The sequence below is a fragment of the Homo sapiens genome, chromosome 19 (genome assembly GCF_000001405.40).
Source record: "Homo sapiens chromosome 19, GRCh38.p14 Primary Assembly".
NCBI classification, from domain to species: domain Eukaryota; kingdom Metazoa; phylum Chordata; class Mammalia; order Primates; family Hominidae; genus Homo; species Homo sapiens.
The window spans coordinates 2,212,017-2,227,495 of NC_000019.10; the positions used below are offsets into that span (position 1 = coordinate 2,212,017).

At 61.1% G+C, this 15,479-nt stretch overlaps 1 protein-coding gene and 1 long non-coding RNA gene across 8 annotated transcripts in view, besides 2 other annotated features; one reads left to right on the forward strand and one right to left on the reverse strand.

The window, feature by feature from the left end:
- DOT1L (DOT1 like histone lysine methyltransferase) overlaps window positions 1–15,479 on the forward strand; it is a 68,646-nt gene that overhangs the window by 48,084 nt on the left and 5,083 nt on the right. For 5 of the 7 annotated variants that reach the window (NM_001411141.1, NM_032482.3, XM_047439514.1 and 2 more), the window contains 11 exons: window positions 1,523–1,624; window positions 1,833–1,970; window positions 2,455–2,580; window positions 4,265–4,749; window positions 4,939–5,074; window positions 5,756–5,902; window positions 8,092–8,206; window positions 9,960–10,543; window positions 11,265–11,470; window positions 13,372–13,436; window positions 14,167–15,111. In NM_001411141.1, coding sequence (NP_001398070.1) covers window positions 1,523–1,624; window positions 1,833–1,970; window positions 2,455–2,580; window positions 4,265–4,749; window positions 4,939–5,074; window positions 5,756–5,902; window positions 8,092–8,206; window positions 9,960–10,543; window positions 11,265–11,470; window positions 13,372–13,436; window positions 14,167–15,111 — 3,049 coding nt within the window. The remainder of the gene's footprint in view (window positions 1–1,522; window positions 1,625–1,832; window positions 1,971–2,454; window positions 2,581–4,264; window positions 4,750–4,938; window positions 5,075–5,755; window positions 5,903–8,091; window positions 8,207–9,959; window positions 10,544–11,264; window positions 11,471–13,371; window positions 13,437–14,166; window positions 15,112–15,479) is intronic. The other 2 variants (XM_011528359.3, XM_047439515.1) reach the window with 1 other exon arrangement.
- DOT1L-AS1 (DOT1L antisense RNA 1) lies at window positions 12–3,549 on the reverse strand. Its single transcript, XR_007067087.1, has 2 exons — window positions 3,478–3,549; window positions 12–2,678 (listed from the first exon to the last, which is right to left on the reverse strand). It is a non-coding gene; the product is annotated as a DOT1L antisense RNA 1 (long non-coding RNA).
- Window positions 11,966–12,025: a silencer, noted in NCBI's record as "silent region_9773". NCBI's record gives its function as "represses an Ori minimal core promoter by ATAC-STARR-seq in GM12878 lymphoblastoid cells {active_cell/tissue: GM12878}" and the evidence as "EXISTENCE:reporter gene assay evidence [ECO:0000049][PMID:35858748]".
- Window positions 13,847–14,353: an enhancer, noted in NCBI's record as "H3K27ac-H3K4me1 hESC enhancer chr19:2225862-2226368 (GRCh37/hg19 assembly coordinates)". NCBI's record gives its function as "activates a minimal SCP1, AML or CMV promoter by ChIP-STARR-seq in primed H9 embryonic stem cells {active_cell/tissue: H9 hESC(primed)}" and the evidence as "EXISTENCE:reporter gene assay evidence [ECO:0000049][PMID:30033119]".

Genomic DNA, 15,479 nt, shown 5'->3' on the forward strand with positions numbered 1-15,479 from the left:
AGAGACCCGGAAAACAGCGAAAATGAGACTTTTAATCATGGTTTTGCAAGACCTGGTGTCTGATAGGCACACCCAGCACAGTTTGAACAAGCAACCTTCCCCCTAGTGCACAGGTCCCTCCCCCGGTTCCTCAAAGGCTGAGTACTGTGAGGTCACAGTCTTCCCAGTTGTCGCCTATTGGTTCGGCAGGGGCTGGAGTGCAGTGGTGTGATCTCGGCTCACTGCAAACTCCGCCTCCCGGGTTCACGCCATTCTCCTGCCTCAGCCTCCCAAGTAGCTGGGACTACAGGCACCCACCACCACATCCGGCTAATTTTTTGTATTTTTAGTAGAGACGGGGTCTCACTGTGTTGGCCAGGATGGTCTTGATCTCCTAATCTCGTGATCCTCCCGCCTCGGACTCCCAAAGTGCTGGGATTACAGGCATGAGCCACCACGCCCGGTTGTAGGTGTTTTCTTTAGGGTTGTCCTGCTGCATTTTGTGCATTGCAATCCCAGTCAGCTCAGGGACTGTTCAAGTATTTGACTTATGATCTAAGTAGCTGGGCAGGCTGATTAAGAACAGACAAAGCCAGCTCTTTTGCAGGCTGGTAAACCTTCATCTTAGGCTAAACTTCTTTGGTTCGGGTGAGGGCAACTAAGCCGGGGGAAGCGGGGGCAGGGGAGGCTGACAAGCAGGCATCAGCGATCCAAGCAGGGGCCTAGTACATGCTGTCTCTTCTGTAGTTTGCTGACCTAAGCCAATTCAAGGCAGTTTGTCCTGGAAATGGACCACTGTATACATGATTTCCTTCACCTGAGGTCCCGGCTGTGGGGCCCCGCCCTGGGAGTCTCCGAGGACCTGCTTTAGTGGGGAGCTAGGGCCGGGCTATGGGGTGGAAGTTCTGGCGGCCCAGAGATAACTCCAAAAGCCATTGGAGCCACAAGGTCGGCTGTCCCTGAGCCCTGGTTTGCATTTTGGACTTTGGCTTTGCTTTTAAAAAAAAGCTTACAGCGTGCTTTGAGCATATATGCACATGCATTGCTCACTGTGTAGCTGACAGCATGCCTGGGCCGGGGCCCTGTTCTCTGCTGGTGTCTGAAGGTTGTCCTGTGTCAGTGGCTCCTGGGGTCTTCCCTTGGAGGTGGGCCTCCGGACACTGAGTGTTTGCTGTTACGCTGCAGAAGGCTTCCTTGCAGATCCATGTGAAAAGTCCATCCCCTGGTATTGCCTTGGGATAAACTCCTTGGCATTGGCCGGCCTCTGCGTGGCTGGGGGCGCTGCCCTGGCTGAGTCCAGGTGGGGTGGCAGGTGCAGTCCCTCCAGCTGGCGAGAGTTCTTTGCAGTGAACCTGATGCAGAGCTGGTCCCCTCCCGCCGTGGCCTGAGTATTTCTTGACATCTCAGCCCGGTGTGGGTCCCCTCAGGCATGTCTGTCCTTGAGCGTGTCTTCAGGAAGCATGAGAGGCAGGGCGTGGGCCCTCCCTGTGGGCCCTCAGTCACCTGCCCTGGCCCTTAGTCACCTGCCCTGTTTGTCCTACAGGAGAAGAACGCCCAGCTCCTGGGTGCGGCTCAGCAGCTCCTCAGCCACTGCCAGGCCCAGAAGGAGGAGATCAGGAGGCTGTTTCAGCAAAAATTGGATGAGGTAGTGGACCCCAGAGGGCAGGTGGCAGGTGGCAGCTGGGGCGCAGGCTGGGGTGGTCCATGTCCGTCGGTATGGCTTCCTGTGGCTTCCTGTCTATGCCTCTGTCCAGCTGTGTCCCAGGGGCTGGGCTGCAGGGGTGGTCATGCCTGGGGGCTTACTTCACCTTGGAGGCCACCAGCATGACCTCTCCCCCGCCCCATGTCCCCAGCTGGGTGTGAAGGCGCTGACCTACAACGACCTGATTCAAGCGCAGAAGGAGATCTCCGCCCATAACCAGCAGCTGCGGGAGCAGTCGGAGCAGCTGGAGCAGGACAACCGCGCGCTCCGCGGCCAGAGCTTGCAGCTGGTGGGTGCCGCGGCGCAAGGACAGGGACGTGGAACCAGAGGGGCCCTGCCTGGGCGGGTGTGTCCTCTGTGCGGGTGGGAGGCTCTGGAAGGCCCGCCTCTGTTGTGGGGTTTGTTCCCAGACGAATTGCGCCACCTGTGAAAGCTTGTCGAGCGCGTCACAGCAGGCAGGCCTGGGCCCCTCGGCTGGATGGTTTCTCAGCGGCCCTGGGTGTCATGGAGCCACACTCTGGCAGGCTCGAGGTGTGGGGTCATGCGAGCATCCCACCATCGTGGTGTGGGTGCTGGAGCTGCCTCATCTGTCCGTGGGGGGCCCCAGTCTCCGCGTGTTCCGCATCCTCAGCCTGCTATTCCAGAAACGGGGTCTGTGCCCTAAGCACACATGCTGTTGGCTGAGGCAGGCCCAGGGAACCCTGCCCTGAGAGTGTGGGGTGTGCTGGGCAGGCAGCCAGCCAGTCGCAACTGTCCCATCCCTATCCCCTCAGCTCAAGGCTCGCTGCGAGGAGCTGCAGCTGGACTGGGCCACGCTGTCGCTGGAGAAGCTGTTGAAGGAGAAGCAGGCCCTGAAGAGCCAGATCTCGGAGAAGCAGAGGCACTGCCTGGAGCTGCAGGTGGGCTGCGCGCGAGGCTGCACTCCGTGGTGTCCGAGCCTCTCCCATCAGCCTCCCTGTGACGTCGTTGAGCCTAGGGTGGTTGCGGTTGCAGCAGCCTAGGAAGAAGGTGGAGGAGGACAGTTGGGTGGAGGCTTATGGAACCTTCTGTCTTGGGCCGCAGGCTGCCCGTGTGGATGACTCTGCCTCACTCTAGCCCTCAGCTCTCGGGGGCATCTCGGGATTGCTTGGCTGAATGCGCAGCGCTAACCTAGGATTTCCTGATTTCCTGGCTGCCTCCTTGCAAATCATTTCTGTAACAGTCATAGGGGAGAATTTGCTCATTAGAAAAACAGCTGGATCGGTGCAGGGGCTTATGCCTGTAATCCCAGCACCTTGGGAGGCTGAGGCGGGCAGATCACCTGAGGCTAGGAGTTGGAGAACAGCCTGGCCAACACAGTGGGACTCTGTCTCTAGCAAAAATACAAAAATTAGCCGGGTGTGGTGGTGTGTGCCTATAGTCCCAGCTCCCAGGGAGGCTGAGGCAGGAGTTCTGGCTCCCAGGATGGCATCCCCAAGGGCCATATTGAGGCAAAAAGGGCCGTGTTTGAGCCCGGGAGGTGGAGGCTGCAGCAAGCTGAGATTGCACCACTGCACTCCAGCCTGGGTGACAGAGCCAGGCCCCATCTGAAAAATAAAATAGCTTGTACTTTCTGACACCGAGAAACGCATTCGTGGAGGCCGAGTAGAGGAAGTGTGGAGGAGGGTGTGCAGCGGGAAGGTGCTCTCCTCCCTGCTCCCAGGCAGAGGCAGGTGCTGGTGGGCGGTGCCCACAGCTGCCGTGCAGCCTAGAAAGCAGCAGGTCACGGGCTTTGTTCCCAGAGCCCCATCCCGTCGACACTGTGCCCGCCTGCTCACCTTACGTGTCCCCAGCGTGGTTTCACTGTTGATGGACCTGGTGCCCTGTCGCTGGACCTCTGCTGCCTTTTCAAATGACTGCACCAAACCGTTGCTGCAAGGCTGTCCCCGGAGGCGGGCTCTCACGGGCGGCTGACGGACGTCGGGAAGCACCACTCACGTGCTCCCGAGCTGCTCCCTCACGTGTGTGGCCCAGGCGAGCCTCACCAGCGTACATTAGAGAAACGGAGGTCGCCGACCTCTTTACCACAGCCGGGCCCTGTGGGTCTGCCTGGAGTAGAGCCCTCGGGAAGAGCATATTTGGGTTCTGACCATTTTTGTCATCATCTTTTCTGTGTAATAAAAAAACAATGTGTTTGTTAAAAGAAAGGAAAGCAGGTAAACAGAACAGATAAACTAAAAGGAAAAAGCCCCTCTCAGACTCAGCGCCCGGGGAAGCTGCCACGCTCGAGTGGCGTGTCCCTCCACAGGTTTTACACTTAGTGAAACTGGATGTTTTACACTTAGAGTCTATTTTGAGAGACGAGAGCTCTTTGTATCTTCCTGTTGCTCTTTTTGAAGAAGGTGCTTCCATGTCAGCAAAAACCATCCTCGGCCCTCCACATGACTTTATTTGACGCCCCCAGCTTCCCGACCCCGCCTCTATGTGGTCGGCAGCTTTGGTTTTTCCATCCCACACAAGCAGCGGGGGTCCTGGCCACCCCTCCGGGTGTCCATCTGTGGCAGTCTTGGTTCCCTGGAGTGGTCCCCCGGTGGGGCGGGCCTGACACCATCTCTCCTCCTGCAGATCAGCATTGTGGAGCTAGAGAAGAGCCAGCGGCAGCAGGAGCTCCTGCAGCTCAAGTCCTGTGTGCCGCCTGACGACGCCCTGTCCCTGCACCTGCGTGGGAAGGGCGCCCTGGGCCGCGAGCTGGAGCCTGACGCCAGCCGGCTGCACCTGGAGCTGGACTGCACCAAGTTCTCGCTGCCTCACTTGAGCAGCATGAGCCCGGAGCTCTCCATGAACGGCCAGGCTGCTGGCTATGAGCTCTGCGGTGTGCTGAGCCGGCCTTCGTCGAAGCAGAACACGCCCCAGTACCTGGCCTCACCCCTGGACCAGGAGGTGGTGCCCTGTACCCCTAGCCACGTCGGCCGGCCGCGCCTGGAGAAGCTGTCTGGCCTAGCCGCACCCGACTACACTAGGCTGTCCCCGGCCAAGATTGTGCTGAGGCGGCACCTGAGCCAGGACCACACGGTGCCCGGCAGGCCGGCTGCCAGTGAGCTGCATTCGAGGTGAGTGCCCTGGTGGGGCTGGGGGTCTGCAGCTGGTACCTGCCGACTCTGCCTGGTGTGCTCAGGCTGTCGGGTTCTCAGCAGGAGTGTGTTTGTTGAGGAGACTGAGGTGGGGAGGTGCTGGGCCAGGCCGCTGCCTCTGAGTGCCAGCCCACGGCCCTCGAGAGTGACTGCAGCTTCTCATTCCAGAGCTGAGCACACCAAGGAGAACGGCCTTCCCTACCAGAGCCCCAGCGTGCCTGGCAGCATGAAGCTGAGCCCTCAGGACCCGCGGCCCCTGTCCCCTGGGGCCTTGCAGCTTGCTGGAGAGAAGAGCAGTGAGAAGGTGCGGGCCGCGACCCCTGCCCCGGGCTCAGGGAGGTGCTCAGCAGAGGCGGCCTGAGCGAGTTGCTAGCAGGAGGGCTTGTCCTAGTTGACCTTGGGGCACGGTGAGGTACTGGGGCTGACCTGGAGTAGGATGTTGTGGCAGAGTTGGGGGCAACCAGTAAGGACAGGTCACAGGTGACGTTGGGCAGGTGCCATGGAGGACATGGGGTTTGTCAGGGTGTCCCTGATGCCTCTTAGTTCTCAGTGACGGACGGCAAGTGCTGGTAGAGACACAGAGCCCAGTTTGGGAGGCCGCTGCCCATGAGGACTTCCCCGGGGGCACTGGCCTGTGTGCACAGGGATGGAGAGGGAAGGACGGTGACGTTGCATGGACTTGGCAGTGATGGATGTGGGCCCTGGGAGGCTTGGTGGCCCCACGGGTGACTGCCCACCGAGCCGGGCGGGCAGGCTGGAGGGGACAGATGGGCATTGCTTTCAGACACCAGGAGCGTGCCGTCCCTCTGGAGTGTCCCAAAGCCGGTGTCCAGGAGGGCCTGACTGCGTGGGGAAGGTTGCAGGGCCTTGGCAGCGTGGGGGCCGCCTTGAGAGAGCTGTAGCAGGCCCCCGTCCTGTGGCTGTGGTCCCTGTGTCCTGGAGGGGTTTGTTGACCCACGACTGGGGGTCGGGCCTTCGTCTGCAGGGCCTGAGAGAGCGCGCCTACGGCAGCAGCGGGGAGCTCATCACCAGCCTGCCCATCAGCATCCCGCTCAGCACCGTGCAGCCCAACAAGCTCCCGGTCAGCATTCCCCTGGCCAGCGTGGTGCTGCCCAGCCGCGCCGAGAGGGCGGTGAGTGGCTCCCAGGTGGCTGTCCCCAAGGGCCACGTTGAGGCAAAACAGTCTGGGGTGCTCGAGACCTGGCTCACTTTGCGAAGTCTCACGCTGTAAAATGTCGAGCGTGAGGCAATGCAGTCAAGGTGGGCTGTCCAAAGCCGGGGCGTGTCCGGTGACCTGGGCCGTTGTTTTCGCCAGTCTTTTTCTTTTGGGTGAAAGGTACGTGTGCAAGTGGAGAGGGCCTCACACCTTCTGGGTTGAGGAGGAGCTCAGAGGCCCACCCTGGCTCCCAGCCTCACTCCTCACGAGGCCACATTGGCTGCCGTGGCCCCTGTCCTCACAGCTGCCTCTGGGTTCTCCCACCCAGCGCTGTGCATGCAGAGAATCTCGTCTTGTGTAGCATGGGCGGGATTTTCTGGGCATTGAACTATTTTTTAAAAATTGTGCGCTTCAAGTATATGCTTCAGTGGTTTTTAGCATTTATTTTTTATTTTTTATTTTTATTTTTCAGACGGAGTCTCACTCTGTCGCCCAGGCTGGAGTGCAGTGGTGCGATCTCGGCTCACTGCAAGCTCCACCTCCCGGGTTCACGCCATTCTCCTGCCTCAGCCTCCCGAGTAGCTGGGACTACAGGCGCCCGCCACCACGCCTGGCTAATTTTTTGTATTTTTAGTAGAGATGGGGTTTCACCGTGTTAGCCAGGATGGTCTTGATCTCCTGACCTAGTGATCCGCCCGCCTGGGCCTCCCAAAGTGCTGGGATTACAGGCGTGAGCCACGACGTCTGGCCTCTTTCTTTTTTTTTATTTTTCGAGATGGAGACTCATTCTGTCCCCCAGGCTGGAGTGCAATTGTGTGATCTCGGCTCACTGCAATCTCTGCCTCCCAGGTTCATGCCATTCTCCTGCCTCAGCCTCCCGAGTAGCTGGGATTACAGGTGCCCACCACCACGCCCGGTTAATCCCCGCCCCCACCAGCTGAGACGGAGTCTTGCTCTGTTGCCCAGGCTGGAGGGCAGTGGCACGATCTTGTGATCTTTACTCACTGCAGCCTCCGCCTGCTGGGTTCAAGCAGTTCTCCTGCCTCAGCCTCCCGAGTAGCTGGGATTACAGGCATGCACCACTATGCCCAGCTGATTTTTGTATTTTTAGTAGAGACAGGGTTTCACCATCTTGGCCGAGCTGGTCTCAAACTCCTGACCTCAGGTGATCTGCCCACCTCAGCCTCCGAAATTGATGGGATGACAGGCATGAGCCACCGCACCCGGCCAATTTTTGTATTTTTAATAGAGGTGGAGGTTTTGCCCTGTTGGCCAGGGTGGTCTCGAACTCCTGGCCTCAGTCGACCCACCCGCCTCGGCCTCCCACAGTGCTGGGATTCCAAGTGTCAGCCCCCGTGCCCGGCCGGTTTTTTGTACTTTTATACACCTCTGTCTAATTCAGGACATTTTCTTCACCCGGGAAAAAGCGTTGCCCGCCTCAGCAGTCACTCCCTAGTCGTCCCCCAGCCCCCGGGCCCCCGAACACGCTCATGTCTGGGCCTGTCCCTTCTCTTGGCACGTGAGGGCATTCCCTGTGTGGATGGAGTGTGCCATCTTCATCCGTGCCCAGTTGATGGACCCCGGCTTGATTCCCTGTTTTGGCGATTGTGAATCGTTCTGCTGTGAGCGCTGGGGTCCAGGTTTCTGTGTGGATGTAGGTTTGCTCTTTGGCCCATGTGGGAGTGGAGCTACTGGGTTCTGCGGTCACTCTACTGACCTTTGTTGGACTTGGAGTGTGGTGTGGGGAAGTGCAGTGGGTGGTGGCCGGCAGGTGTGTTCTCGCAAGCGCCCTCCTCACCCCACCCGACTGCTGGCATTTGTGCTGCTTGGAGAACACAGCCGCTTCCCGGTGAGGGCGGGCTGTGGGTTGCTTGGGTTGTGCCCAGTACCCCCTCCCCACAGCTGGACCCCGGGACCCCCGCCTCCTGACCTCCCTGCCTCAGGCCCGCTGCCCATTCACACGCAGGCACCGCGCACTCTCGCTGCGCCACTCGCCTGGGGCCCCGCTCAAGTTCCCCCGCTGCCCTCTTCCCACGCGGTACTGGACGGTGACCCCGGCGGCCTCCCCCAGCCAGCTGCAGGCCTCAACACTCACTGTTTCCAGCTGGGTTCTGGGTCTCCTGGGGCACCTGCTGCCCCTGACACACAGGGTTTTCTCTCTGCAGAGGAGCACCCCCAGTCCCGTGCTGCAGCCCCGTGACCCCTCGTCCACACTTGAAAAGCAGATTGGTGCTAATGCCCACGGTGCTGGGAGCAGAAGCCTTGCCCTGGCCCCCGCAGGTAACGCCCCTCCTGTGCCCTACCCTCAGGACTCTGCTGCTGCTGCTGCTCTTCAGGCAGGAGGGCTGGGTTGCTGGGAGTGGAACAGGGCTTCCTGGGGTGATCATGGGGGCTGCTGCCCCAAACCGCCACGCCTCATTACTGACACCCTTTCCTGCATCCCACGAGCTGGGATGCGGATCGGGCTCAGCTGCAGCCATCTCGGCCTCATACCTGGGTCTCCCGACACTGACACCTCCTGCTTGGGTGTATTAATTCAGCCCGTGAGGTCGGCCCCAGTGCTCTCGGGGGCTCCTGTACTCACAGCTGGGAGGCCCCTGACTCAGGATCGGCTCCACACACAGCAGTGCCCAATGGCACACGACCGTGGGCCTCCGTGCTGGTAGCGGCATGGTTTCTGGTTCCTTGAGAAGGTGCCGCCTGAGCAGTCTCTGCTGTTAGCCCAGTTTCTGCAGAGAGCCAGAGAGGATGCCACTTTGGCTTTTGTTGACACTGCAGGCCTGTCTGTTGTGGAAGCCGCAGAGACAGCATGTCAGCGGGCATGGCTGTGTGCCAGCAAAACTGTACTTAAAACAGCAGAGGACATGAGACCCCCAGGCTGGTTTGCTGGCCCCAGGTTGAGATGCGGTATGATGCGGCAGCTACTTTTTTAGGAGTAAAAAGTAAAATGTGGCCGGGCGTGGTGGCTCATGCCTGTAATCCCAGCACCTTGGGATGCCGAGGTGGGCGGATCACCTGAGGACAGGAGTTTGAGACCAGCCTGGCCAACATGGTGAAACCACCGTCTGTACTAAAAATACAAAAATTAGCCGGATGTGGTGGCAGACGCCTGTAATCCCAGCCACTCGAGAGGCTGAGGCAGGAGAATCGTTTGATCCTGGGAGGTGGAGGTTGCAGTGAGCTGAGATCGCACCACTGCACTCCCGCCTGGGCAAAAAGAGTAAAACTCCATCTCAAAAACAAAACAACAACAAAACAAGTAAAATGTACATGGCCGCTATTGAGACAGGAGGGGCTCTAGGGAGGCTGGGCAGGCTTCACGGTTGGCCACGTGAGGGCCCTGGAGAGGCCACCGAAGCCCGGGCAGTTCTGCCCTCGCAGGGCTGGGTTGTGCCCTTGGGGTGAGGTCTGCTCTGCGAGAGGCAGTGACAGTTTCAGGAGATTTTCAACTGGGTGGCAAACAGCCAACTCCAGAAGCGCCTTGCTGCGCCCCTGCACTGAGGCCTCATTGGCAGAAGCAGGGAGGCCGCCCTTTGTCCCCGGGTGGTCATGGAAGTGCACCACTCATCGTGGGCTGGGAAGCATGGCTGCGGCCTTCAAGGCGGCCATAGCTTGGAGTATCCAAGCTGAGTTGTCTTCTGAGAACAGGAGGGAGGGAGGCCACGCAGCCATGGGCTTTCCTCATGGTGTCTCTGAGATCACGGGGCCAGAGGGCAACTTACTCAGAGGAAGCCTAGCTCAGCGGGGAGCCCGCACCAGGAGGCTTCTTGGGAGGCAGCGTCTCAGCCGGGACCTGCAGGGCACAGGCAGCCCAGATGGGCGGGAGGAGGCACAGGGTCAGCCCTGAGCCTTGAGCTTGCCCACAGAGCCTTCTGGTTCCACCCCAGAGGGGCCGTTTTCAGACTCCCAACCCCTTCCCCACTTCCCCGCCTCTCCTGGAGCCCACAGAGCTCCTAGGGGGTGGTGCTCCCACAGCAAGGCTTTCTCTTTGGCCATCCTGTGTCCCCTGAGACCCCCATGTCCTTCCCGGCAGGCTTCTCCTACGCTGGCTCGGTGGCCATCAGCGGGGCCTTGGCGGGCAGCCCGGCCTCTCTCACACCTGGAGCCGAGCCGGCCACCTTGGATGAGTCCTCCAGCTCTGGGAGCCTTTTTGCCACCGTGGGGTCCCGCAGCTCCACGCCACAGCACCCCCTGCTGCTGGCACAGCCCCGGAACTCGCTTCCTGCCTCTCCCGCCCACCAGCTCTCCTCCAGTCCCCGGCTTGGTGGGGCCGCCCAGGGCCCGTTGCCCGAGGCCAGCAAGGGAGACCTGCCCTCCGATTCCGGCTTCTCAGATCCTGAGAGTGAAGCCAAGAGGAGGATTGTGTTCACCATCACCACTGGTGCGGGCAGTGCCAAGCAGTCGCCCTCCAGCAAGCACAGCCCCCTGACCGCCAGCGCCCGTGGGGACTGTGTGCCGAGCCACGGGCAGGACAGTCGCAGGCGCGGCCGGCGGAAGCGAGCATCTGCGGGGACGCCCAGCTTGAGCGCAGGCGTGTCCCCCAAGCGCCGAGCCCTGCCGTCCGTCGCTGGCCTTTTCACACAGCCTTCGGGGTCTCCCCTCAACCTCAACTCCATGGTAAGGATGGGGACCGGCAGGGCTGGGGAGCGCGGCCTGTGAAAGAAAGACCAGAGGGAGACCGGGCGCGGTGGCTCACGCCTGTAATCCCAGCATTTTGGGAGGCCGAGGCGGGTGGATCACAAGATCAGGACATCAAGACCATCCTGGCTAACACGGTGAAACCCCGTCTCTACCAAAAATACAAAAGATTAGCCGGGCGTGGTGGCGGGTGCCTGGGAGGCTGAGGCAGGAGAATGATGTGAACCCGGGAGGCGGGGCTTGCAGTGAACTGAGATCGGCCACTGCCTGGGCCACAGAGCGAGACTCCCTCTCGGGGGGACAAAAAAAAACACAAAAAAAAACAGGTGGAGGCAGGGGGCCATGACTGAGCCCGGCCATCCTCCACCACGTGCGGCCTGGCAGCCTGGGAAGAGGCGGCCGACAGCTGTCTCTGGGGTTCGGAGTGCGATGCGCTGCCTGCAAGCTTCTTCATTCTCGGCTGTGGGGCCTTAGTGGTGGTGGGCACATCAGGAGGGGGCATGGGGGGCTCTGGGATTGCGGGGTGGTGTGTGAGGACCAGGAAGAACCAGGACAGGGGCTGTACTGGCCGCTGGGCAGGGCATCAGTTTCCTCAGGAGACCCTGGGGTGCAGACAGGAGCCTCCTGGGGCGGGGGGGCTCTCCTGCCTTGGGGTCCCGGGTCTGTGGTATGTGCATCCATTGTGTCTGTCTGCCCTCAGGTCAGTAACATCAACCAGCCCCTGGAGATTACAGCCATCTCGTCCCCGGAGACCTCCCTGAAGAGCTCCCCTGTGCCCTACCAGGACCACGACCAGCCCCCCGTGCTCAAGAAGGAGCGGCCTCTGAGCCAGACCAATGGGGCACACTACTCCCCACTCACCTCAGACGAGGAGCCAGGCTCTGAGGACGAGCCCAGCAGTGCTCGGCGAGTCCAGGGGCCCGGAGGGGGGCGGGGCCTGGCAGCAGGGGCAGGAGGTGCCTGCTCACTGTGTGTGTGTGGGTGGGTGGGTGGGGAGGACCGGCAGGCTCTTAGGGGGTGCCCTGGATGGGAGGAAGGCGTCTGTTTTGTGAGGGGCCTCCCCACAGGTCCTGGGCCCCGTTCCGGGCAGGGCCGGCCTCCCGGGCCATTCGGGGTGGGACACGAGCAGGGCCATCGGTTAGAAGAGGCAAGCTGAGGAGGAGCTGAGCGCAGCAGGAGAGAAGCTTCAGCAGTGAGGCGTTGGAGGTCTCATCCACACGTCTTGCCGAGTGTATTACAGTAGCTTTATTAGATAAAATTCACATATCGTATTCTCCATTTAAAGTGTGCAATTCAGAGGTCTTTGGTATATCCACATTACCACTGCCTAAATCCAGAACCTTCCATCATGTCCTGAGAAAATCTCATCATCCCCTTGAAACACTCACTCCCCTTCTCCTCCCAAGAGCCCCTGGCACCCCCCGCCCCCATCCTACTTTCTGTCTCTGAATCTGAGGGCTCTAGGGACCTCCTAGGAGCGGAGTCACACAGGATGTGGCCTTTTGTGTCTGGCATCTCTCACTGAGCGTGACGTCCTCAAGGTGCATCCTCGGTCCCTGTCGTGGCTGGGTGGTGCTCCACCATCCATCCGCCCTCCGTGCTAGGCTTGCTTACCCTGGGCGGTTGTGAGCAGCACTGCTGTGGCCATGGGTGTGCGTGTTTGTGTTTGGGAGCAAGTTTCCCGTTTCCTGGTGCCTGGGCGGAGGTGCTGGGTGGCCCGGCCCCCTGGGCTCTCCAGCAGCCACACCATTCCACCCTGCCACCATGGGTGCACGAGGGTCTGAGGTCCTCAGTCCCCACATCCTCAACACACTGAATTTCTTGTTTTGATTCTAGCCATCCGAGTCGTCGTGAAGTGATATAACATGGTAGGGTTTTTTGCTTTTTTTTTTTTTTTTTTCCTGAGACACAGAGTTTTGGTCTGTGGCCCAGGCTGGAGTGCGGTGGCGCGATCTCGGCTCACTGACCCTCCGCCTCCTGGGTTCAAGTGATTCTCCTGCCTCAGCCTCCTGAGTAGTTGTGTCTACAGGCACACGCTACCACCGTGCCTCGTTCGTTTTTTTGTTTTATAGAGATCGGGTTTTGCCATGTTGCCCAGGCTGGTCTCAAACTCCTGGCCTCAAGCCTTCTGCCTCCCAGTGCCTCCCAGCGTGCGCCATCACAGCCGGCCCTAAGTGTGCTTTTGGTGGTGTTCTGTGTTAGTTCGTTCTGCTCCTTGCCCACGTGTGCGTGCACGTGTTACACGAGAAACATTGTAGCACCTGGATGCTCTGTTTTGCATTGGGATTGCTCAGCTTAGTGGTTTCCAGGATCTTTAGGAATTTGTGTGTCCCTGGTGTGTTCTTGGGACATTGGATCAAAGCGACCCCATGCAGTGTGTGGTTGGGCATGTCTTCACGTGCTGGCCTGCAATGCTGTGGCATTGTTTGCCACCTGAGGCACCGAGGTCTGAGAGGGGCCGGGAGAGGGAGGTAGGAAGAGAGCTCTGTCTGGGATTCTCACACTTCTGTGTGCTGGGAAATTGCTTCTCCCATTCAGCTGCTGTGCCTGATCTCTTGGCTGCTTGTCCCAGCAGAGGCCCTGGAGTCCCTGCCAGGACAGTACCCTTGTGGCACAACAGGGGTGGATCCCAGGGCCCAGCCACCCAGTCCAGGCCTGGCCCAGGGTGGCTGCACGGGTCCCCTGTCTGGGCCGAGTGCTTCTCGTTCACCACCTCCGGAGCTCCCTGGGCTGTTGGCTGTCAGCATTTGTGTCATTCTTAGTATGCAGCTGGGTTTCAAGCATTAATGACCTTTTTTTCTTAACAGAATTGAGAGAAAAATTGCAACAATCTCCTTAGAAAGCAAATCTCCCCCGAAAACCTTGGAAAATGGTGAGTAACAAGTGTTTTGCGGCGTGGCCAGGCCTGTCCGTGTGGCCGTGGTGCCCAGTCAGTGCTGCTGACCCACCTGCTGGCCCGCTGCATCGTGTCCCGCATGGTGCTGGCCCGCTGCGTCGTGTCCTGCGTGGTGCTGGCCTGCTGCGTCGTGTCCTGCGTGGGCGCCGACACTGGGGGCGCTGGGCTTCCAGAACTGCCTCTGGGAGGCCCTCACTGCAGCCCAGGGCCTCCGCGCACACGCCATGCTCTCACAGTGGGTGGCTGACCTGCGGGGATCGTCACCTTGGGTCCCCTGTTTGCTTTGCACCCTGGCCTTCCCCCCGAGTGGTGCCTGCGTCCTCAGTGAGGACCCTGACCTGCTCTGGGGCAGCCCCACCTTCCCTCCCGCAGGCTGCTGACCTCAGCATTTTCCCCAGAGCTCATCCCGCATGGCCTCTGAGACCCGCTTCAGCTGCCTCTGTCCTGTCTTCCGCCCTCCTGTCCCATCCAGTCCCGTCCCCTGCCATCTCATCCTGTGCTGTAGTCCTCCTGTCCCATCCCATCTTGTCCCCTCCCGTCCCCTTCCCTCCTGTCCTCTCCCATCCTGTCCCGCTTGGCATCTTGAGTGTCTGTGACCAGCCCTGCCTGCAGAGTTGCCCGGGCCGTGGCAGCAGCCCCGGTTAGCCTCATGGGTAGCCCGGGCAGGTGCTCTGGGCTCACGGCTTCTGCCTTTCCTCTTTGCCAGGTGGTGGCTTGGCGGGAAGGAAGCCCGCGCCCGCCGGCGAGCCAGTCAATAGCAGCAAGTGGAAGTCCACCTTCTCGCCCATCTCCGACATCGGCCTGGCCAAGTCGGCGGACAGCCCGCTGCAGGCCAGCTCCGCCCTCAGCCAGAACTCCCTGTTCACGTTCCGGCCCGCCCTGGAGGAGCCCTCTGCCGATGCCAAGCTGGCCGCTCACCCCAGGAAAGGCTTTCCCGGCTCCCTGTCGGGGGCTGACGGACTCAGCCCGGGCACCAACCCTGCCAACGGCTGCACCTTCGGCGGGGGCCTGGCCGCGGACCTGAGTTTACACAGCTTCAGTGATGGTGCTTCTCTTCCCCACAAGGGCCCCGAGGCGGCCGGCCTGAGCTCCCCGCTGAGCTTCCCCTCGCAGCGCGGCAAGGAGGGCTCGGACGCCAACCCTTTCCTGAGCAAGAGGCAGCTGGACGGCCTGGCTGGGCTGAAGGGCGAGGGCAGCCGCGGCAAGGAGGCAGGGGAGGGCGGCCTACCGCTGTGCGGGCCCACGGACAAGACCCCACTGCTGAGCGGCAAGGCCGCCAAGGCCCGGGACCGCGAGGTCGACCTCAAGAATGGCCACAACCTCTTCATCTCTGCGGCGGCCGTGCCTCCCGGAAGCCTCCTCAGCGGCCCCGGCCTGGCCCCGGCGGCGTCCTCCGCAGGCGGCGCGGCGTCCTCCGCCCAGACGCACCGGTCCTTCCTGGGCCCCTTCCCGCCGGGACCGCAGTTCGCGCTCGGCCCCATGTCCCTGCAGGCCAACCTCGGCTCCGTGGCCGGCTCCTCCGTGCTGCAGTCGCTGTTCAGCTCTGTGCCGGCCGCCGCAGGCCTGGTGCACGTGTCGTCCGCTGCCACCAGACTGACCAACTCGCACGCCATGGGCAGCTTTTCCGGGGTGGCAGGCGGCACAGTTGGAGGTAGGCAGGGCGGCCGTCCGTCCGCCCCCCGCCCCGGCCCCCGCCGGAGGCCCCTTCCTTTGCAGGTTCCCTTCCGCACTCTCTTGCAGCAGGAGCTGAGCTGCAGGTCCCCTGGTGCCGGCCGGCCCCCGCCATCCGTGCACGGTGGCGAACTCCAGTCCTGTGGGGAGAGGGCTCACGCTGAGTCCGTGTGTCTTGGGTTCTCTGGTTGTAACCGCGTCCCTCTTGTTTTCAGAAGGCCACCGTGCGCAGGGCCACCAGAGCATTACTTTCTCCCGTGGAGGTCACCTGCTAGGTGTGGCCGCCCGGGCTCTGGCAAGGCTCTGGGAGCTGGTGTTGGGTAAGAGCGAGTCCCCGCAGTGCCTGCC